Genomic DNA, 21,103 nt, shown 5'->3' with positions numbered 1-21,103 from the left:
TACTTACTGAATTGACTTGCCTTCCTATAATTCCTTCCTACTCTCTAATGAACTCTGTGTCATATGTATATCACATATGTATGTACATATCATGTATATGAGATGCATAAATATACATATATACATATACGTTTTATATAATGTCTATGTAATACACCCAACAATAGGATAACAAAATAGAATAATACTAGAATAAAAAATTAATAATAACTAGGCCGGGCGCAGTGGCTCACACCTGTAATCCCAACACTTAGGGAGGCCAAGGTGGGCGGATCAACGAGGTCAGGAGTTCGAGACCAGCCTGGCCAACATGGTGAAACCCTGTCTCTCCTAAAAATACAAAAATTAGCTGGGCGTGGTGGCAGGTGCCTATAGTCCTAGCTACTCAGGAGGCTGAGGCAGGAGAATTGCTTGAACTGGGGAGGCGGAGGTTGCAGTGAGCCGAGATCACGCCACTGCGCTCCAGCCTAGGAGACAGAGCAAGACTCCATCTCAAAAAAAAAAAAAAAAAAAAAAAATTAATAATAACTATACCTTATCAAATGCTGACAAGATGACAGACACTGTACAATAAATGTTACACATACTGGTTCATTTAATTTTCACAATAACCATGTAAGATCAGTATTATCATCTGCATTTTGTGAATAGCATGCCAAAATCCAGAGTGATTAACTCATCCAAGATCACACAGCAGTAGATCCAAGATCACACAGTAGTAGAAGAGTATTCAGATCCAGGTTTATCTGAACTCCAAACTTTTGCTCCTTCCATGACAATTTTCAAGTTACATATCTAGCAAATAAAAAAAAAACTGGATAGCAATGATAGAGAAAGTAAACTTATCAAGGATGGCAGGCAAACAGACATTGTATTCCTGCTTCCTGGTAGAGGAGCAAATGCCATTGACTTTCCATGGGCAGAGAAAAGCAACGAGCAAAGGAAACACAAGCACAGCACACTTGCCCATCGTGTGCCAAGTCAAAGAGATGAAAATGCCTCCTCGGATGGGAGCATGGATTTGTTCATGTCAAATCAGCAGGTCTAATTGTCACTGAAGGTCAACTGAGCCCCATCCTCTGTAGATGATGCTTGTAATTAAAAGAAGAAGAAGAGACAAGCTTCTTAAAGGCAGGAAAAGGTGCTCCCTGGAGGACTGGGGCTTCTCTAGTTTGTGGTAAAATATGACTTAAGGTAAAACTTTTGTTGACATCAATTTAATTCATGGCAAAACTTCACACAGAAAATTCCATAATATATTGAGAGTAGGGAAATTAAGAAATCCCAAATGAACAATAGAGAAGGATTCAGGAACTACTTTCAGTCTTTTTTTATTGACTTCTTTTTGATCATCAAAGTTACTTTCATCTTTGTAGTGACAATAGCTTTTTAGAATATTTCTTACACTAATTCCTGATATCTTCTATTAGGCTACAGTTTACCAAAGAAATGTCAGGAAATACCCATGGGTAAAGCTGAATATTTCATAATCTTTGTAACCAAGAGATGTTGGGTTCTTTCCACAAGGTCCTAGGATGTAGCTGAAAAAAAAAAAAAAAAAAAAAGCCAGTTGTTTCAATTAAACTGCATAACAAATAATAGATATTTAACAAATACTATTCATCCATATTTAACTTAATCTTTTATCTAAATTTGACCTATGTCCCCCTTTAAATCTGTGACACTAACACAAGTAGTCAAAAATAATTAGAATTAGGCTGGGCACAGTGGCTCATGCCTGTAATACCAGCACTTTGGAAAGCCGATCACCTGAGGTTAGGAGTTTGAGACCAGCCTGTCCAACATGGTGAAATCCTGTCTCTACTAAAAATACAAAAATTAGCCAGGCGTGGTGGCGGGCGCCTATAATCCCAGCTACTTGGGAGGCTGAGGCAGGAGAATCGCTTGAACCTGGGAGGTGGAGGTTGCAGTGAGCCGAGATTGTGCCATTGCACTCCAGCCTGGGCGACAGAGCAAGACACCATCTCAAAAAAAAAAAAAAAAAAAAAAATTAGAACTATTGTCACAGACACTTTTTAGGATCTGCTAAATATGAGTTTACTAAGGATATCTAAAATGTTGAGATTGTTACATTATGAATGTATTTTTCACTGTTCATCAAAGCAACTTCAATAACAGTAGCTAGCCTCACATCAGCCAATCGAACAACTAAAATGTGTTTGAAACAGCCCCTGAGGACTATCTTCTCTTTCTTTTCAAGCAAATATTGTTATCCTGATACTGGTTGCATTAAGGAATCAAAATTGAAACTGGCAGAATTACAAAAGACAATCCTAAGCTGCTTTTTTTAACTTGCTTGCTTTAAAAATGTTTAAATGGTTTCTGGTTTTCATTTAAGAAAAATGTCTATGTTTTGATTCTATAAAAACAAGAAATGAATGAGGCATTGTAAAAGTTATGTTTTTAATTAAAAACCAAAAGCTGCTTCTCATCAGGTCTTGATGGGTGGCATCTTTGCTGTCCACCACATGCCTTGGTGCCACCAACTCTCCCTTCTGTCCCCTCAAGCGGACAGATCAGCACACAGAGTCCCCAGGGAAGATGTGCTCATTGTGGGGCACAAAGGGTTAACTTTCTCCTTGGGCAGATTCAAGAGAAATAACACCAATAGAATCAGAAAATAAATTTTCTAAGTCAGCTTTACAAAAACGTGATGTTTTCTCTAATCAATAAACAGCAATTTAAAATCACCATTATTTTTATTCATAGGAGGAGGTAATAATTTCTAATTCCAGTTTATTCTGAGCAAGAACCCCATAATTTCATCAAAGAAGGGAGATCAGAGCTTGAGTCAGACTTTTTCATTGTGCAAAGAAACTGAGTCATCAGGAAGGATGTGACTTCCCTAATGTACAACACACTAGTGGCAGACCCAGGGTAGGTCTGTAAGTGGTCTGCTTACTCCCAGAATATTATTTTCCACTGCGTTAAACACTGCGTAAAATGGATATATGCCATCTGTCACTCGGGTGCAGGTACAGATTAAAATATTTTGGGTAAAACTAAAATTCACTTAGTTTCATTATTCACAATGGGGAGCAAACAATGTTTCGTTATTCACAGTGAGACTAGATAATTTGGTTTGATAAATTATAGAAAAGAAAAGGAAGAAAATAAATAGTCTAAAAGTTTTCTTGTTATTCTTAACACTGTGTAAAGCATGTATTTATAACAAAGACACCAAAAAATGTCAGATTCTAACATACCAATCTGTGGATATTAACATACACAGAGCAAAATTCCCTGCTTCAAACTGGCTATCTTAAAATTTGAAAGTATGAATAGCTTTAATTACATTGATCACTCAGTTTCCCAGAAGGATATTTTATTAAACAAATTAGTGAGAAAAAAACAATACTTTAGAGATGTTCTAATAAATAAAATACAATGCTGAGTGTTTCACAGGAGACTCAGTCTTTTTTTACTCAACATTTTATTCTTTTAACAGGTGTATTTTGCTAAACAGTGTTAGGTCTGAGAAGAAACGAAGATGAATAAGTTATAGATTTTGCCCTCAAGGAGTTTACAGTCTGATAGAGTAAATGGGATGTGTATAAAATGTAGACCCCAGGTGTGGAATGGAAGTTGGTTTTGTTTTTGTTTTTGTTTTTGTTTTTAATGATGGAGTCTCGCTCTGTTGCCTAGGCTGAATGCAGTGGCACTATCTTGGCTCACTGCAACCTCTGCTTCCCGGGTTCAAGTGATTCACCTGCCTCAGCCTTCCGAGTAGCTGGGATTACAGACGCCCACCACCATGCCTGGCTAATTTTTGTATTTTAGTAGAGACGGGGTTTCACCATATTGGCCAGGCTGGTCTCGAGCTCCTGACCTGGTGATCTGCCTGCCTCGGCCTTCCAAAGTGCTGGTATTACAGGCCTGAGCCACCGCACCCAGCTGGAAGTTGGTTCTTTTACTAAATGGCTTGGAGGCTCAGAATCACAATATGCAGAAAGAATGCAAGCACTGGTCCTTCCTTCCGTCTTCCCTGATCCTATGGGAAGGAAGGAGAGGATCTTTAACCAGGAAGAGGTTAGGGTCCCACTGCCTAGGCAGTGTGTGGCACTTGCTAATTTGGGGTTGTTTCAAGAGCTTGCAGCCCTCCGGGGAGCCGGGTCCTTCCAAAGCTGTTCGGCAGGAATCAGCATTCTGCCAGCCTTCTCTTGAAGGCTCCTGGCTTCTACCTTGTCTTGCTGTCTTGGGTTGCCCCCGGGGTCCTCTTTGGTTTTCTGCTCAGTATTTTTTTGCAGCCAGCTGGTTTAGTTGTAAGTCTCATCTGGTTTTGCAAGCATTAAAGGTCTGGACTGTGCAGGCACAAGTGACTCATAAATTATTTTAAAATAGCTAAAAGTCACACTTTAACATTTCGATCACAGCTTTGCAGCAACCAACTTCATATTTAAGGCCTAGACACATCAACTAATTTAGGAGAGACACTAGTGACCAAAGACGGTCTCCATGGTAATTGTGTGTGTTTAGGGGTTGCAGGGTGGGGAAAGAGGTTCCCTCGTGGGCTGCAGAGTCCCAGATACCCTCACCAAGGCACAGGGAGAGAAACCAGAAGAGGCTTCAAGGACTGTCGTGATCTAGTGGGAAAAGTGCTGCTGGTTCTCAGTCCACCTTTGTCACTACTAATCATGTGATCATGGGTAAGCCACTCAACCTTTCTGGATAATGGATTCCTAATCAGTAAAATGTTAGTAAAATATCTTCCCACAGGGTTCTTGGGAACATCAAAACAAGATAAAGTGTGTAAAAATACTTCAAAAACTATCAAACATCATAGAGATGCAACGTGTGTGATTATAGTTGTTTATAGCGGAGAAGGGAACATCTGGCCTGGGCATTAACAGAGAGGAAGGACATTCTAGTTAGAGGGCAGAGTGAAGAGCAGAACATGCCGAGTGTTCAAGGGACATTGAGTAACATCTTGGCCAGAAGGTGTGATATCAGTGAAGAGGAAAACAAGACCAGAAAGTTCGTTTTGTTCATTTCATCCATTAAAAAAAGGGAAGAGGGATCATTTGTTACTGAGTGTCTACTCTTTATTGAGCGCTGTGTTGTGTGTCAGGACCAGCAGCCAATTCTGGATGGAATGCTGAGCAGTTCAGTCATTCGTTAGAAAGCAGTTGTCAGCAATGGGGGACTTTTTCTTTGCTGGGGAGTGCTAGATGACTGAGGTTATATTTTACAAAGATTAGTCCAGCAGGGAAGATGAACAAGAAATGAAAGGAGACCAATTCAGAGGTTATGGCCTAAAATTCACATCACTGGTCACAAGAGAAATACGGAAGGCTTGAGCTGGATATTGTCAAAAGGGGTAGAAAGAAGAGGGTAAATGTGAAGATGCATTTAAAAGCAAAAATTCAGGCTGGGCGCGGTGGCTCATGCCTGTAATCCCAACACTTTGGGAAGCCGGGGCGGGTGGATTACGAGATCAGGAGCTCAAGGCCAGCCTGACCAAGATGTTGAAACCCTGTCTCTACTAAAAATACAAAAATTAGCTGGGCGCGGTGGCAGGTGCCTATAATCCCAGCTACTCAGGAGACTGAGGCAGGAGAATTGCTTGAACCCGGGCAGCAGAGGTTGCAGTGAGCTGAGATCACACCACTGCACTCCAGCCTGTGTGACAGAGTGAGACTCCATCTCAAAAAAAAAGAAAGAAAGAAAAGAAAAATTCAGGCCTGGCGTGGTGACTCATGCCTGTAATCCCAGCGCTTTGGGAGGCTGAGACAAGCAGGCTGCTTGAGCCCAGGAGTTCCAGACCAGCCTGGCCAACATGGTGAAACCCTGTCTCTTAAAAAAAAAATTGCAAAAATATTAGCCAGGTGTGGTGATGTGCACCTGTAGTCCTAGATACTCAGAAGGCTAAGGTAGGAGGATCCCTTGAGCCAGGGAGGCAGAGGTTGCAGTGAGCCAAGATTGCACCACTGTACTCCAGCCTGGGCTACAGAGAGAGATCCTGTCTCAAAAAAAAAAAAAAAATTAAAAAAAGGAAAAATTCACAGAATATAGAGATTTAGAGAGTGGAAGAAAGGAATGTGTTGAAAATAATGCCTTTTTAAATTGATAAGCTGGTATATAGTGGACAATGACACTATCATTTTTTTAGATGTTGCATCCTAGATGCTAGCAGGAGGACATTCATTTGGAGGCATTTAAATGAAAATCTGAATCCAGAAGTCAAGAAAGAGCCCTAGGACTTTAAGCATGTCAGAGTCGTCTTGATGCAGATATAGCAGAAGCCCAGAATGTGTGGATAATATTGACAAAGAAGAGCATAGAGGGATATAAGAGGGCCATGAGCAGATTGGTAGGCAGGGTCACAGCCAAGGGACCAGAGAAGATAGAGGAGGATGCAAAGAGGATTGAAAAGGAATGGGCAGGAAGAGCAGAGCCAGGAGAATTTAAAGGCAGGAAAACCAAAGAGAATTTCCTACTAGACATTATGCCCCTTAGGGTAAGGACCCGATCTGTCATCTTCATGGCATCCACCAGCGCTTGTTGAATTGAATCACTCTGTAAGGCCTTTGCTTTCCGGAGCCCCTATCCTCAAAACAGCCCTGCCCACCTGATGTCCCACTTTTATCTATCTGTGCCTTTGCAGCACTTTCTGTGGCCCCCTGATATGGTTAGACTTTGTGTCCCCACCCAAATCTCATCTTGAATTGTAATCCCCTGGTGTTGAGGGAGAGACCTGGTGGGAGGTGACTGGATCATGGCGGGCAGTTTCCCCCATGCTGTTCCTGTGTTAGTGAGTTCTCACAAGATCTGATGGTTTTATAAGAGGCTCTTCCCCTTTGTCTCACTCACTCTGTCTCCTGCCGCCTTGTGAAGAAGGTGCCTGCTTCCCCTTCCGCCATGATTGTAAGTTTTCTGAGGCCTCCCAGCCATGCAGAACTGTGAGTCAATTAAACCTCCTTTGTTTATAAATTACCCAGTCTTGGGTAGTATCTTTATAGCAGTGTGAGAACGGACTAAAATGCACCTCCCCGCCCTCCGCATTAAAGCTTTTTCCATCAAACTCCCTCAGTAGGTGGTACACTTTGAGGGTGGGACCTGAGCTGGGACTGTGTCATGTTTATCCTTGTATCCCAGCGTTTAGCCCAGCATCAGGCCCAATGGTGCTCGGTGAATTAATGGGAGGAAGAAGGACGGGATGGAAAGAGGGAGAGGGAGGGTGACAGATGGAGAGAAGGAGGGAGGAAGAATTAGCAGCATCACAGGCCACAGGGACTTTGAGGACGAAGAGTTCCAAAAGTTGCTGAACTTGGGTACTGATCACAGGCCCTTGGTATTGGGCCTCCTAAACATATTCTAAGTGACTTTTTCTCAGTGTATTCTTGTCTAGACTTTTATCAAAACAAATATTAAAGATATTCTTTTATCATTTTCATCCGGGGTGGTCATTTCATCTGGTAGGATCATTCATGGCTTCTCTGGGCCCTCAGCTATTCCTCAGACATTATAGCACCAAAAAGCATTCACAGGTCAGGGAAAGATGAAGAGAAAGCAAAATGCCAGTGCCCTGCCCGTGGCACCCACCTTTCTGCTCTCCTCTAAAACAAGACAGATTTTTCTTTCAAATCTCTCCTATAAGAAGGCCAAAGCAGAAAAGACACCAAAAAAGTCCTTGATTTTTCTCTATAGATGAACTTAGCATTCTGCTGATTCCTTCCTAGGTCTCTGGGTTTTTAAAGAATAAAACTTGGTCCCTTTAGTATAAGTAGCTTTCGGGTAATATTAGACGACTCTGGAAGCTCCTTAGCTCCTTCCGCCTGTTATACCGTTACAACTAGTATCATTTGTATTCCCAAAGAGTTGATTTGCCTCCCACAATGCCCAGTGATCTATCCAGGAGTAGCATGGTTATTAGGAGAACCAAAATCAATAAACTTAAAGCTTTCAGTGGATAGCACTGCTTATCTTTAAACCACCTCAGTCATCATCAAGGGTAACCAACAAATCTATGGAGTCACAGGCAGCCTTAAAGAAGAAGATGCTATAGAGACAGAAAATCAATTGTGCAATAATTGTGACAATTGTTAAAAAGAATTGGTCTTCTACAGATTTCCAAGCCTTTAATTTTCATTTTCCATAAAGGATTTTAAAACTTCACAGTCTTAGCTGCTGTTGGCTAACTCATCTGCAGTGAAGTCTATTTAAAAGTACTAACAACTCAAAGCTATGTTTCATCCCAAAGCACGTTATGAAAACAGGAATTGCAACAGAAATGTAATTCAAAGACTTTTATTGACTTTTCATGTTTAATGGTTATTATTCTGGTTTGTTTCGAGTAATTTTAATAACCACAGTTTAATTACAAAATTCAGACTAATTCTTTTGTTCCCATGCCAACAAAATACATTTGTTCCCAGACAGCTGGTATGATGCATCATTCTAAGACTTGTTATGAGAGATAGAACCACATGTAATTTTGGCCACATGTTATTCTCCGTGACAGTTTGAACACTTGCCTCTGTTTTCTGAAAAAAAAAAAAAAAAAAAAAAAAAAAAAAAAAAAAAAAAAAGCTTGAACCACAGTGTCAAGGACATTAGTATTTTTATTAAATACACATCTTATCAAAATATTTCTTATAAATCAGTTATTCTAATAGATTTTGGTGGCAAAGCGCCAAAGCAAGTCAAACACTTGTACCCAAAACCCTCACTAAAAACCATACACAATGATTGCAATGCCATTTTTAAAGGATCACTTAAAGCACTCTTCTGGTGTTAACGTGCTCTGTTTCATCTTTGCTTTCTTGAGATTCTCTTTGTTTTTAACCTCACTGGGCTGAGTGTGCTGCGGGAGGAGAGAAGAGGCAGGATCCTCTATGTGCTTGCTGCATGTTTTTAATCCTGTGCTTTGCTGACATATCAAATCCACGTGTCAGCAAAGCACCGACTGCATCACTGCAGCTGTTTTTCCATAAAGCATTTTCTACATTGTTGAAGTGGCTCTTCGTCCCTGCAATGAATACTGACGGATGACGAAGACCACGGGGAGGGCCGCAGGAGCACACAGATCTCTGACCTGGGACTGGAGGGTTCAAAGCCAGGCTTTGCCTGCCTTGGGGCTGGGTCTCATCTTCTATTCTTAGAATGGAGTAATGTTGTGGTATAGTCTCATGTCTTTTCGTTTAATTTTTAAGACAGTTTTGGCTTTCATTTTAGCCTTATTAAAAATTATGTTTTCGATCAAGACATATGATTTACTCCAAACAAGTAAATTATGGAGGCTCTTAAAGAATAAAATAGAAGAAACTTAAAACCAAGATGTGTTCTATCCCACCTTTTAAAATTGGTGGGCAAGCAGAATAGAATTATCAAGTATTAACCTGGGTGATCAAATATAGTTTCCCAGGAAGATAGAAAGGAATATATATGTTTATGTTCCCACAGTATTCTATCAAGGCTTCCTGTTCTGACAGCTACTAAGCACTGAATTCATAGAATTCAGTGAACAGGTAGAAAGAGAAAGTAGAGATCAACACAGTGATGTTAAAAAGAGGGTGGGGTTGAGTCAGCAGAGAGAAATGTTTGATGACTACTGATTGTGCTTGTCATGTTTGGAAAAACGTATCAAACATTCCGAGGGGCCACTTAACTTGCAGTTCCTTTTTTTTACTATAGTCCAGCCCTTTTTCTGTTGAGAAAGGGCTATTTTGAGGTAGAAGCAATTGCAATTGTTTATTGGCAAACAAATGAAAAAGCAGAGATTTATTTATTTATTTATCTTTTTTGGAGATAAAGGTCTTGTTCTGTCTCCCAGGCTGGAGTGCAGTGGCGCAATCTTGGCTCACTGCAGCCTCTGCCTCCCGGGTTCAAGCTATTCTCATGCCTCAGCCTCCTGAGTAGCTGAGATTACAGGTGTGTGCCACCACACCTGGCTAATTTTTGTATTTTTAATAGAGACCTGGTTTCACCCTGTTGGCCAGGCTGGTCTCGAACTCCTGACCTCAAGTGATCCACCCACCTCAGCCTCCCAAAGTGCTGGGATTACAGGCGTGAACCACCACACCCAGCCGAAGTAGAGATGTTTTAAAGGTACCAGATGTACGTCAGTTTAAACTAGAAACAAGGAAAGAAAGTTGATTTTTCAATGCAACAGACAATTCAGAAGTTTAAAAGGCCATTTAAATGTATGTTCCATGTAGATATCCTGTTGGATTTATATACAAAATTAGAAGGCATAGTTCCAGTAGAAAAAATATATAGTTAGAAAGTGTTCAAATGCATGTAACTTATTGAATTAAATGAAAAACTAAGAATTAGTAAAGAATATAATGTAATTGGCATCATTTAAATTTTATTAAGTACAAAGTTTGTTTTGAATCCAGCAACTTAATACGTACTTAGCTCTCAGTATATACAAATAGCATAGAAAATGTGGTTATACTCTAGGAACTTCTATTATAATAAAGGAAAATAAATAGTTTAAAGATCCTTTTTAGGTTTTGTATGTGAGATTTACAGACAGGTTTATTCTAAAATGGTGAGAAGAAATAGGAGGTAAAGAGCACGCTGACAGCCAGATTGTCCAGTTTTTTATTATTAATAAGAAGGAATTTGCAATCTGTTTGTCTTGGCCCTGACAAACTTATTTGGGGGGCTCTTCTCAGCTCAGTTAGGTAGCAGCCATGTTGGGAAGGGCACAGATATCATGTTCAGATGCTTGTCCTGTTTCTTAGGGTTGATAATCCAAGGGGTGGTGCTCCAGGCCAGGCTCCCCCAGTTGAAACCAGAGCAGCAATTTATCTTATTTTTCTACTCTTCAGCTTAAGATTTTATTTGCCTGAATGCCCTGAAGAAAGAATGAAAAACTAAACCGAATGATCCCAACTGCTCCATTCAGCATATAAGATTTTGAGGCTTTGTGTGATTTCATAAACAGGAAGGTAAATGAGATGGTATATCAGAATGTGCCATGGTAACTGAATGAAGCTCAGCGTGAACTCTTACTGTAAACTCTTTAGACACTTTGAAACTTCAATTCACCAAACATTTACTGAGCACCTACTATATGGCCTGGATATACGTTGCTGAACAAACCGAATGAAAATCTTTGCCCTTGTGAAGTTTACATTTCAGTGGTAGGTTCTTCTGATTTCTATATAAATTTTAGACTTGGTTTGTCAATTTCTAATGTCTTCCAGTCATTACTGTGAACATAGTATATCCCTCTACTTTATTTAAACATTAATTAATTTTTCTGTTTTACATTTTCTATGAAGATATCTTTAACATCTTCTGGGTGGTAGGATTTGCTCCTATTTATTTAACACATTATAATGCTATTTTTAATGGCTTCTTTTTTTTTTTTTTCTTTTAAGACAGAGTCTCACTCTTTCACCCAGGCTGGAGTGCAGTGGCATGATCTTGGCTCACTGAAACCTCCGCCTCCTGGGCTCAAGCGATTCCCCTGCCTCAGCCTCCCAAGTAGCTGGCACATGCTACCATACCTGGCTAATTTTTGTATTTTTAGTAGAGATGGGGTTTCACCATGTTGGCCACACTGGTCTCAAACTCCTGACCTCAAGTGATCTGCCCACCCCTGGCTTCCCAGAGTGTGCAGTGCTACGTGAACCACTGCGCCTGGCCTTAAATGGCATTTTTAAAAATTGCATTTTCTCACAGTTTGTTGCTGACATACTGAAATACAATTGATTTTGTATAGACTGCCTTCATCACAGTAAGGAATTTTCTTTCTATTCTTAGTAAGAGTTCATTTTCCATTTTTAAAATCACAAGTAGATGTTGAATTTTCTTAAATGCCTTTTCTCCATCTTTTGAAGTAATCATATGAATTTTGTTTCTTATTCAGTGAATGCAGTAAAATTTACAGGTTTATTTTCTAATGTTATTGATATAATAATATTAATAATATAATAATATTGCATTCATGGAATTAATCCCATTTGTTATCCCTTTTTTTTAACCTGTAGATGGATTTTGGTCTACTAATATTTTGTTTAGGATTTTTGCATCTATGTTTCTCAGGGATATTGGCCTATAGTTTTCTTTTATTATAATATTCTCATCGGATGTTGGTGTTAAAGTTTGCTGGCCTCATAAAACAAATTATTCTGTCTCTGTTTTCTGGAAGAATTTGTATCAAGTTGATAGTCTTTCTTCCTTTAAAATATTTGGGGTACCGAGCATGGTGGCTCACACCTGTAATCCCAGCACTTTGGGAGGCCGAGGTGGGTGGATCACTTGAGGTCAGGCATTCGAGACCAGCCTGGCCAATATGGTGAAACCCCATCTCTAATAAAAATACAAAAATTAGCTGGACATGGTGGTGAACACCTGTAATATAGGTGGTGGAGTTCACTGATGAAGCCACCTGGGCCTAGACTTTTCTTTGTTGGAAGATTTGTAATTAATTATAGATATACTTTTTTTAGTAGTTACGGTATTTAGATTTTTCTACTTTTACTTCTGTCTAACTCTATCTCTCTGTCTTCCTTCTGGAAATACAATTATGTATATATTAGACCTTCTAGCCCTGTTTCCTATGTCTGTATTTATTCTGGATATTTTATTTTTACCCAGTCTCTAGCTCACTAATTCTCTCCTTAGCTGTGTCTAACCTACTGTTAAACTCATTCTTAATTTTGCTTATTATATTTTCCAGAGCTAGACTTTCTACTTAGTTCTTTTTAAATTACTTATTCTATATCAAAATTCACAATCATTTTTCTTATTCTGTTGGACCTATGTCTTGGTTCTTGTAAAGTCTAAGTCTCGTAACCATGATCTGGAGCTCACAAGGATCTTGTTTCATTGTCTTTTGTTTCTCTTGGCATGTTGTCTTGCTTCTTGTGAGTCTGCCTATTTTTGATTGAGTGCCAGATATTTTATATGAAAATTTATAGAAACAATTTTAAGACCTAGGATGATGTTAATTTCCTCCAGAGAACTTAGATTTGTTTCTAGATAGACAGGTAGTGGCACTTGTAATCTTGAATAGCCTTAATTTATTTTCAAAGATTGAGATGACTTGAAGCTAAACTTCAGTTCTGGAGAGAGCTGGTTTATTTCCAATTCACTCCTACTCCTAGAGTGTAGCCCTTTGGAATCCACCCAAAGTATAGGGATTTTATCAGACACTCCTCCTGAGTGAGCCCTGGACTGCAATTTTTGTCTCTTTGGATTTTTTGTGTGTGAAACTGTTAAAAGAAAGATTTGTTCAGCTTCTCAGCCTCTCACCAACCACTCTAGAATTGGCAAAGGCCACCATGTAAAAATGTCCCCACATGCCAGCTTTACAAATTCTTCTGCTTTATGTCATCTCCAGGATCTTGACCCCATAATTCTTCCCTGCCTTGCCTAACATTTTGAAACAGACCTGGGAATGGATTATCTAATCATTCATTACTAAGAGTGGAAAGTATTTGCATTTCCATGAATTGCTTGATCACATTTATTGCTAATTGTTTCTATTGATTTGTTTTTCTAATTTGATCTATAGAAGTTTATTTTTTGGTTGGGCATGGTGGCTCACATCTGTAATCCCAGCACTTTGGGAGGCTGAGGCGAGCGGATTGCCTGAGGTCAGGAGACCAACCTGACTAACATGGTGAAACCCTGTCTCTACTAAAAATATAAAAATTAGCTGGGCTTGGTGGCGCACGCCTGTAATCCCAGCTACTCGGGAGACTGAGGCAGGAGAATGGCTTGAACCCAGGAGGTGGAGGTTGCAGTGAGCCAAGATTGTGCCACTATACTCCAGCTTGGGTGATGGAGTGACACTCCAACTCCAAAAAAAAGAAAGTTTATTTTTTACATAGTCTGTATGTTAATCATTTGTTAGTTAGATAAGTTGCAAATACTTTCTCAGAATTCAGAATTGCTTATCTTTTAATTTTTTATTCAATATTTTAATTTTTTGAGAAGATTACCTTCTATCTTTTTCCCTATGGTTTCCAAGCTTGCTTAGGAAGGTACTCTCTAACCTAGATTATGAAATATATTCTCTTTTATTTTCTTATACTTTTGAGAGTTTCGTTTCATACATTTAACTCTTTAATCTACCTCAAATTTGTTATGTTATGTGGGATATATTATGTGGGAGAAGGATTGGGGTAGACAGAATGGCCCCTGAAGGAGGTCCATACCCCAGTCCCTGGCATCTGTGACTATGCACATTGCATTGCAAGAGATTTTGCAGATATAATCAAGGTTACTAATAAGTAACCTTAAAAAAGGCAGATGATCCCAGATTATCCAAGTGGTGGGGCTGATCCAGACACATGACCACTAAGGGCCGAGAACTTTCTGCAGCTGGAGGCAGGAGAACATGGCAAATGTGGCAAAAGAGGGCGGGGGGGCTAGAGAGATTTGAAGCCTAAGAACCATTGCGCCATTGCCACTTTAAAGAGGGAGAGGACAACATGATGAGGAATAGCAGTCGCAAGGAGATGAGAGGGACGCGCAGCTCACAGCCAGCCAGGAAATGGGAACCTCAGCCCTGTAGTGCCAAGGAAGTGAATTCTGCCAACAACCCAAATGAGCTTAGAAGTGAATTCTCCCCCAGAGCCTCCAGATAAGAGCCCAGGCCAGCTGACACCTTGATTTTGACCTTGTGATACCCAGAGCTGAGGATCCAGCTGAGCTCCCTCAAACTTCCAACCTACAAAACTGTGAGGGAATAAATCTGTGTTGTTTTAAGCTGCTAACTTTGGGTAATTTGTTACAGCAATGATAAAAAACTAATACAGGGATTTTACTAGTTTCCTTTCCAAATAGATAGCCAGTTATTAATACTAATACCATGTATTGACTGAGATATATTTCTCCCATTTTTTGGAAATGCCATCATTTTCAAAAATCAAATTTTTGATATGTGTGTGAATCTGGGACTTTCTCTTCTTTCCCATTTATCGATTTCCTGTGCCAATATGAGCCATCTATTAGGGTACTTAAGAGCATGAGCTTCAGAGCCACAGTGCCTGGCTTCAGATCTCAGCTCTGCCACTTCCACTTACTTGCTATGGAACGTTAAGCAAGTTACTTGCTTGATTTGCCTCAGTTTCCCTATCTTGAAAATGAATTAATAGTGGTACTCACCTTATGAATTTGTTGTGAGGATTCAATCAGGTATTACAAGCAAAACCTTTCTGAAGAGTACTAATATGTAGTAAATATCATCTATAAAGAGAAGACTCCTCTCATCATCTTTTTAAAAATTTAAACTAAATTGTCTTAGTTATTCTTCAGCATTTTCTCCTTCACATGAATCTTGGGCTAAGATTGTAGAGTTCATTTTTTTTTAATCCCACTGATTGTCTTATGGGGACTGTATTGAATTTATGAATTAGTCTCAGGACAATTGACATCTTTGCGATATTGAGTCTTCCCATTCAGGAACTTTACATCTCTTTGCATTTCATTAGTTTTTTCATTACAACTGAAATCTATCCTAATATGGATGGATGTGTTGTACATTTCTTATTAAACTTATTCCCAAATATATTATGGTATATTTTCTTTTCATGGGTTTCCCTTGTTTTTTCTAAATGGATAATTCTGGTATTTAGGAGTATTACAGTTGTCTCACCAGAGCTCTTACCAACATTACTTCTAATGATCTTTCAGTTGATTTCTTAAATTTTCTAAGTAGGCAATTGTATCATTCCTAAACAGATTTAATGTTTGTATCTTCCTTCCTGTATTTCATCCTTATTTATTAATGTTTGTCATATTGCACAGGTGAGGCCTCCAGTTCCATATCAAGTAGTACCAGTGATAGTATGTGTCCTTGTTTTTTTCTTATCTTTAATGAGAATTCCTAAGTTTCACTGAAAGAGTTTGCTTCCTGAGGATTTCTAATAGCTACCTTTTGTTGAGTTCAGACACATCACCTTCATTCTAATTACTTGTGGACATATTTTGTCATTTCCACTAGACTAAGGTTCCTCTGAGGGCAGTGAATGTATTATAGTAGGAATACACACACACATACACACACAAGTACTATAAATATACATACACACACATACTATATATGTACATACACACATACATACTATATATATACATACACACACATATATATGTTGTGTGTTGGTGTATATAGTATGTCTGTTTGTTCCACAGTCAACTTTCACCACATAGAAGATGAACAGAGTTTATCTCCAGTTGGTTCAGGGAGTTTGTACCAATGAGAGACAGAAAGCCTCCAAGTCCTCTTGCATATGCAGGATAGAAACACCATTCTTCTTGTCCGTACATCAGTCACAAAGAGACTTTTTGACCCTTTTCTCTTACACTCATCATGGGCTCCCGTAGACACAGTGCAAGATCCTCTTTTCTGAGATGTAGCATTCCCTGTACATGGGGGTACTTCTCCCCTTATGGATGCTACCTCCCAATTTCCCCTTCGGGAGCTCTTAAAGTGTAGTCAGGGCTCTCTTTTCTGTGATGTCACCCTGTGGTATGACCTTCAGATTCCTGACCCCCAGTGACTACTGTTTTCCCTTTTGCCACCTGCTTATAGTCCTTCTCTTTCCACCAGCTGCGTACTATTTGTTTTACCCACCCCCCTTCTCAGCCAAACAACCCTAACAGACATCTGAGAAATAAGTTTCCTTTCAGAAATAATAGTGGATATTTATATATTTATATTCTTTGTATAATCTATTATGTTGTTTTGATGCATTTCTTTATAATAATGGGTTATTTTTTCAACGACTGTAGTGTGAGTTGATTCCCCAGTTATCTGTACTGAGCTTAGTCTTGGTCTGCCCCGCCCCCCCCGCCCACTACCACAGTGCTTTGTACAAAGCAGGCATTCAACTGCATGATCAGTAAATACAGTAGTAATACATTCCATAAGGTTTTAGACCCTGAGTTGGCTGACAATCAGATTCATAATTCTGAAGTAGTATCTACTTAGTTTTCATTAATCCTTAAAACTGCTAAATTTTTGGTTCGGTGTATACTGACCTTTTTAGTGAAGCTTGTGAAAAACTGATTGTAGCATATGTGAAAATTAATATGTAATATGTATTGATTGATGGTAGCATCTGTGAAAATTAAGTTGGTTAATTGTTGCAGGCTCTATTTCTCTGTGAGCTGTGATATTTTGGAGCTTCTAAGTCTAGAGGAAGGTGGGGTTAAGGTGAAGCCTGAAGAATGCATGATGGGTTTTAAAAGTTGACACTTGTTGTTATTCAGTTTTTAAATAGGGGACAAAGAATAATAAATGTGTTTGCATTTGTGTATATTAATATACTGCCAGTAAATAGAAAAGTTCTTGAGAATTTCAATTATGAGGGTTTTTTTTTTTAGTTACAACTGAGTTATAAAAATATACAGAAAGTAACAGGACCCAAACAGTGAGTTGAAATCCTGCCTGTTGGGAAATTCTAGCTATGATACCTATATAACTATTAGGGTATAATTAGAGGGTATTTTGAAAATGACAGAACACAAAAGTTTCAGACCCTCTTTTAAGCATCAGTTAAAAAAAAAACAACAACAACAACAAAAACAAAAAAACCTCAAAGAACATATGCCCCACTGAAGGGACAAACAGGTTATTTTTAAAAAGAGAAGGCACTTATTCAGCAAACATTTATTCAGCACCTACTATGTGCCAGGAGCCATTAGCCTTCGACTGTAAGATAAATAAGAGAGTCTTTTTCCTGAAGGAGCTCATAGCCAAGTAGAAGAGATTCCCAAGGTTAATTTGCATTGACTTCTTACCCCAGCATAATTCTATTTTTCTCTCTTTTTTTTTTTTTTTTTCAAGACGAAGTCTCGCTCTGTCGCCCAGGCTGGAGTGCAGTGGCGCGATCTCGGCTCACCGCAACCTCCGCCTCCCGGGTTCACGCCATTCTTCTGCCTCAGCCTCCTGAGTAGCTGGGACTACAGGTGCCCTCCACCATGCCTGGATAATTTTTTGTATTTTTAGTAGAGACAGGGTTTCACCGTGTTAGCCAGGATGGTCTCGATCTCCTGACCTCGTGATCCACCCGCCTTGGCCCCCCAAAGTGCTGGGATTACAGGCATGAGCCACCGTACCCGGCCTTTTCTTCTTTTTTAGACAGCAGCTTCTCAATCTCTTCTATTGTCTTCTGATTTTAGGCCTTCCCCATACAGTAAATAATCTCTGTTTTCTGGTATCTATTCCCTACTTCTTTCCCAGCTATACATTCTCTCTCCCTCAATGATATCATCTATCCCCATTGTCTTCAGGTCTCATTTATTGTGGTGATTCTCAAATTGTTATCGCCAGGCTATACATACCCTTTTTCAAACTCCAACCCTACGTTTATACCCCTGTGGTAACACATGCTTCTCAGTCTGGCTCATCAGACTCTAAAGTCTAAAACTATTCCTTAGAAGAGAATTTCTTGCCACCAAATCTAGTTTTATACTTGAATTTGGGGCTCGATGTCATAACATATTTTCAAAAGGAAAGAGAAATGAGTCAGTAATAGGCAGTAGTAAAAGAATTAATCTTAACACCAGGCGAAGTCAAACTGGTAGTGTGATTTCAGTGAGGAGAGAAGGGCCAGCTGCCGCTCTCCCAAAATGTTTCCCCTGCCCACCTGCCGAAAACTGAACTGATGGGGGCCAAAAAAATTCACTGCGAGACTAGAACTTTACTTGACAATCAGAGGCTTTCTAATGCAAGTTACCCGTTGAAATTGTCACACATTAGAGATTTTACCAAAAGAAAGTTAGCTGGGAGAAAATGTGACAATATGGGGCATTAGATGGGGAGGGCAAGATTCTGTAAGTGGAGTGATGGAGAGAGAAAGGAGAGGCCAATGGAACCAAAGAAAAGCATCTCATGCCAATTTTGTGTGGTGCTTGCCTGGCAGTCGAAAACAGCCTGTTCAAAAGTGACTTTGGCTAAAAGGGTGGAATGAACTCTTCCAGCCAATCAGTAACACTGAGTTGAGAGAATAGAAACCATCCAAATTCTAACAAACATGGAAAAGAAAGGAAACACTTCTTGTTCCATCCCAGGAAAGAAGGGAAAGTACCTCAACTTGGTGCTGTTGTGAGAGAGCACTTTTATTCCTTTTCAGCTTGTGTGATCACAGGAATGTTGCTTCCCGAAAGCCACATACAGGCAGGTGGTTTTAGAGTTTTCTCTGCCCTCGCGGTTATGAATTATATAGACTTTTAGTACTTAACTACAAACAGAAGATCTTCCAGGTGGGGGATCTGAGTTAGGAAAAGAAAAATGCAGAAATACAAGTCACAGGGGTAATAAGGTCTCTTGGATGTGGGTAGAAAGTTCCTGACTTAATGCCAAAGGCTTAACGTGTATATTGAACAGCTTGACATACCTGGAGGGCCCTGGGGATTAGTGAAGGAGCAGGGCAGAGATGTTTTCGATGTGTGAATTGTTTACAAGCCAAAAACAAAATAAACATTGGCCCTGTCACCAACTTATAGTTTATTGAAATGGAGTAGGTCCCCTAAGAATAGTGCCCAAGGAGGCCGGGCGCAGTGGCTCATGCCTGGAATCCCAGCACTTTGAGAGGCTGAGGTGGGCGGATCACTTGAGGTCAGGAGTTCGAGACCAGCCTGGCCAACATGGCGAAAACCATCTCTACTAAAAATACGAAAATTATCCAGGCATGGTGGTGGGCACTTGTAATCCCAGCTACTTGGGAGGCTGAACCAGGAGAATCACTTGAATCTGGGAGGCTGAGGTTGCAGTGAGTGGAGACTGCGCCACTGCACTCCATCCTGGGTGACACAGCGAGACTCAGTCTCGAAAAAAAAAAAAAAAGTGCCCAAGGGAGTGGCGCAGTCGTCGGCCTCCCTCTGAGCACAGTGGCTGCTGCAGGTCAGACGTCACTGCTAGGTGAGCTTCCATGGGTCCTGCTGTGACTCATTATTGAGTGTTTTGCTCTTCATGGTTCTACAAGTTACGTTTATCCTCAGTATACAAATATCACAAACTGATTTTAATCAGGTTTCTAAGTTTGTCTAAATGTGAGAAATTTAAAATACTATATACCTGTACCTAAAATTAATGACCACCCTAAAATATTATTGCTTCTAATTTTTAGCCTCTATGAGAGATTCCTCTCGATAGGTTTTGTGTGTGTGTGTGTGTGTGTGTGTGTAAGAGTACAAATGTTGTTAAAACTCATATCCTTCTTAAATTATAGATGTACGAGTGAAAATAATATATATTTTTTTGCTTTCTAGCACATTATAGTGGGACCACAGTTTTAGTCAATCCTATAAAAGATACCAACTCAGAATATGTCATTTTACTCCCCCCTCCATTGCCCTGGAGTTGTGATTCCTCCGTAATTCATCGGGCTTCTACATTTTGTTCCCTGGACATTCTCCCAAGCTTGTTCAACCATTAGCCCTCTGGAGTTCTGGGTTTAAGTACTGTCAGATCAGATTTAAATCATGTGTTAAGGCTTGGTGGGTCCATCATTGTCCTCAATTTAAGAAGCATTATAGAGGTCACGACATTGCTACAAAGAAGGTGGCACTAATCCCTCACTTTATAAAAGGGAATGCTGTGGTATGCATTACACCAAAAGACCCAGCCCCACCAGCACCACAGCCCAGAGAGCCAGCAATGTGCTCATTTCCTCCACCCTCCCTGCATACTTCCAGGGATGGGTAGTACAAAACCAGATGTAAACTATTTTTCAAATACTCCTCTGACTTAGCATTAAGTTTCCCTTAGACCAGATGCCAGTGTTTAAATAATATCCTGAAGGATCCAAAGAGAAGGAATTACTCATTGTGTTTCATTCATATAAAACCTGAAATACAGAGGGAAAGAGTACAAAGGAACCAAGTACCTTGAGTATGCCTTGCCAGAGTATAATAATTTGAAAAGAATACTGCCTCATGAATGCTCAAAAGTGAAGTGTTTTTTTTTTCTTTAATTATCAATTGAACTTTCCATTATTTGTTATTAGTGCTCTTTAGGAAAAATTAAAAGCAAACCATTATGATTTCTTTTGCAAAGCAATTTCGTTATGTTTTCAGGAAATTGAGCGACACTTGCTTTAAAGTGGCTCTGTCCTTCAATCACTTCCATTTACTTATTTTATTGATTTATACCTTGTTCTCTGCAATT

At 39.6% G+C, this 21,103-nt stretch overlaps 1 protein-coding gene across 19 annotated transcripts in view; it reads left to right on the top strand.

The window, feature by feature from the left end:
• The window catches only part of CEP112 (centrosomal protein 112), a 556,597-nt gene that overhangs the window by 504,455 nt on the left and 31,039 nt on the right, over window positions 1-21,103 (top strand). The gene's annotated exons all lie outside the window — the stretch shown is intronic.

This window comes from Homo sapiens, chromosome 17, assembly GCF_000001405.40.
Source record: "Homo sapiens chromosome 17, GRCh38.p14 Primary Assembly".
In the NCBI taxonomy this organism is placed as follows: domain Eukaryota; kingdom Metazoa; phylum Chordata; class Mammalia; order Primates; family Hominidae; genus Homo; species Homo sapiens.
The sequence above is the reverse complement of the archived record's forward strand: the minus strand, read 5'-3'. Positions and strand labels throughout refer to the sequence as shown.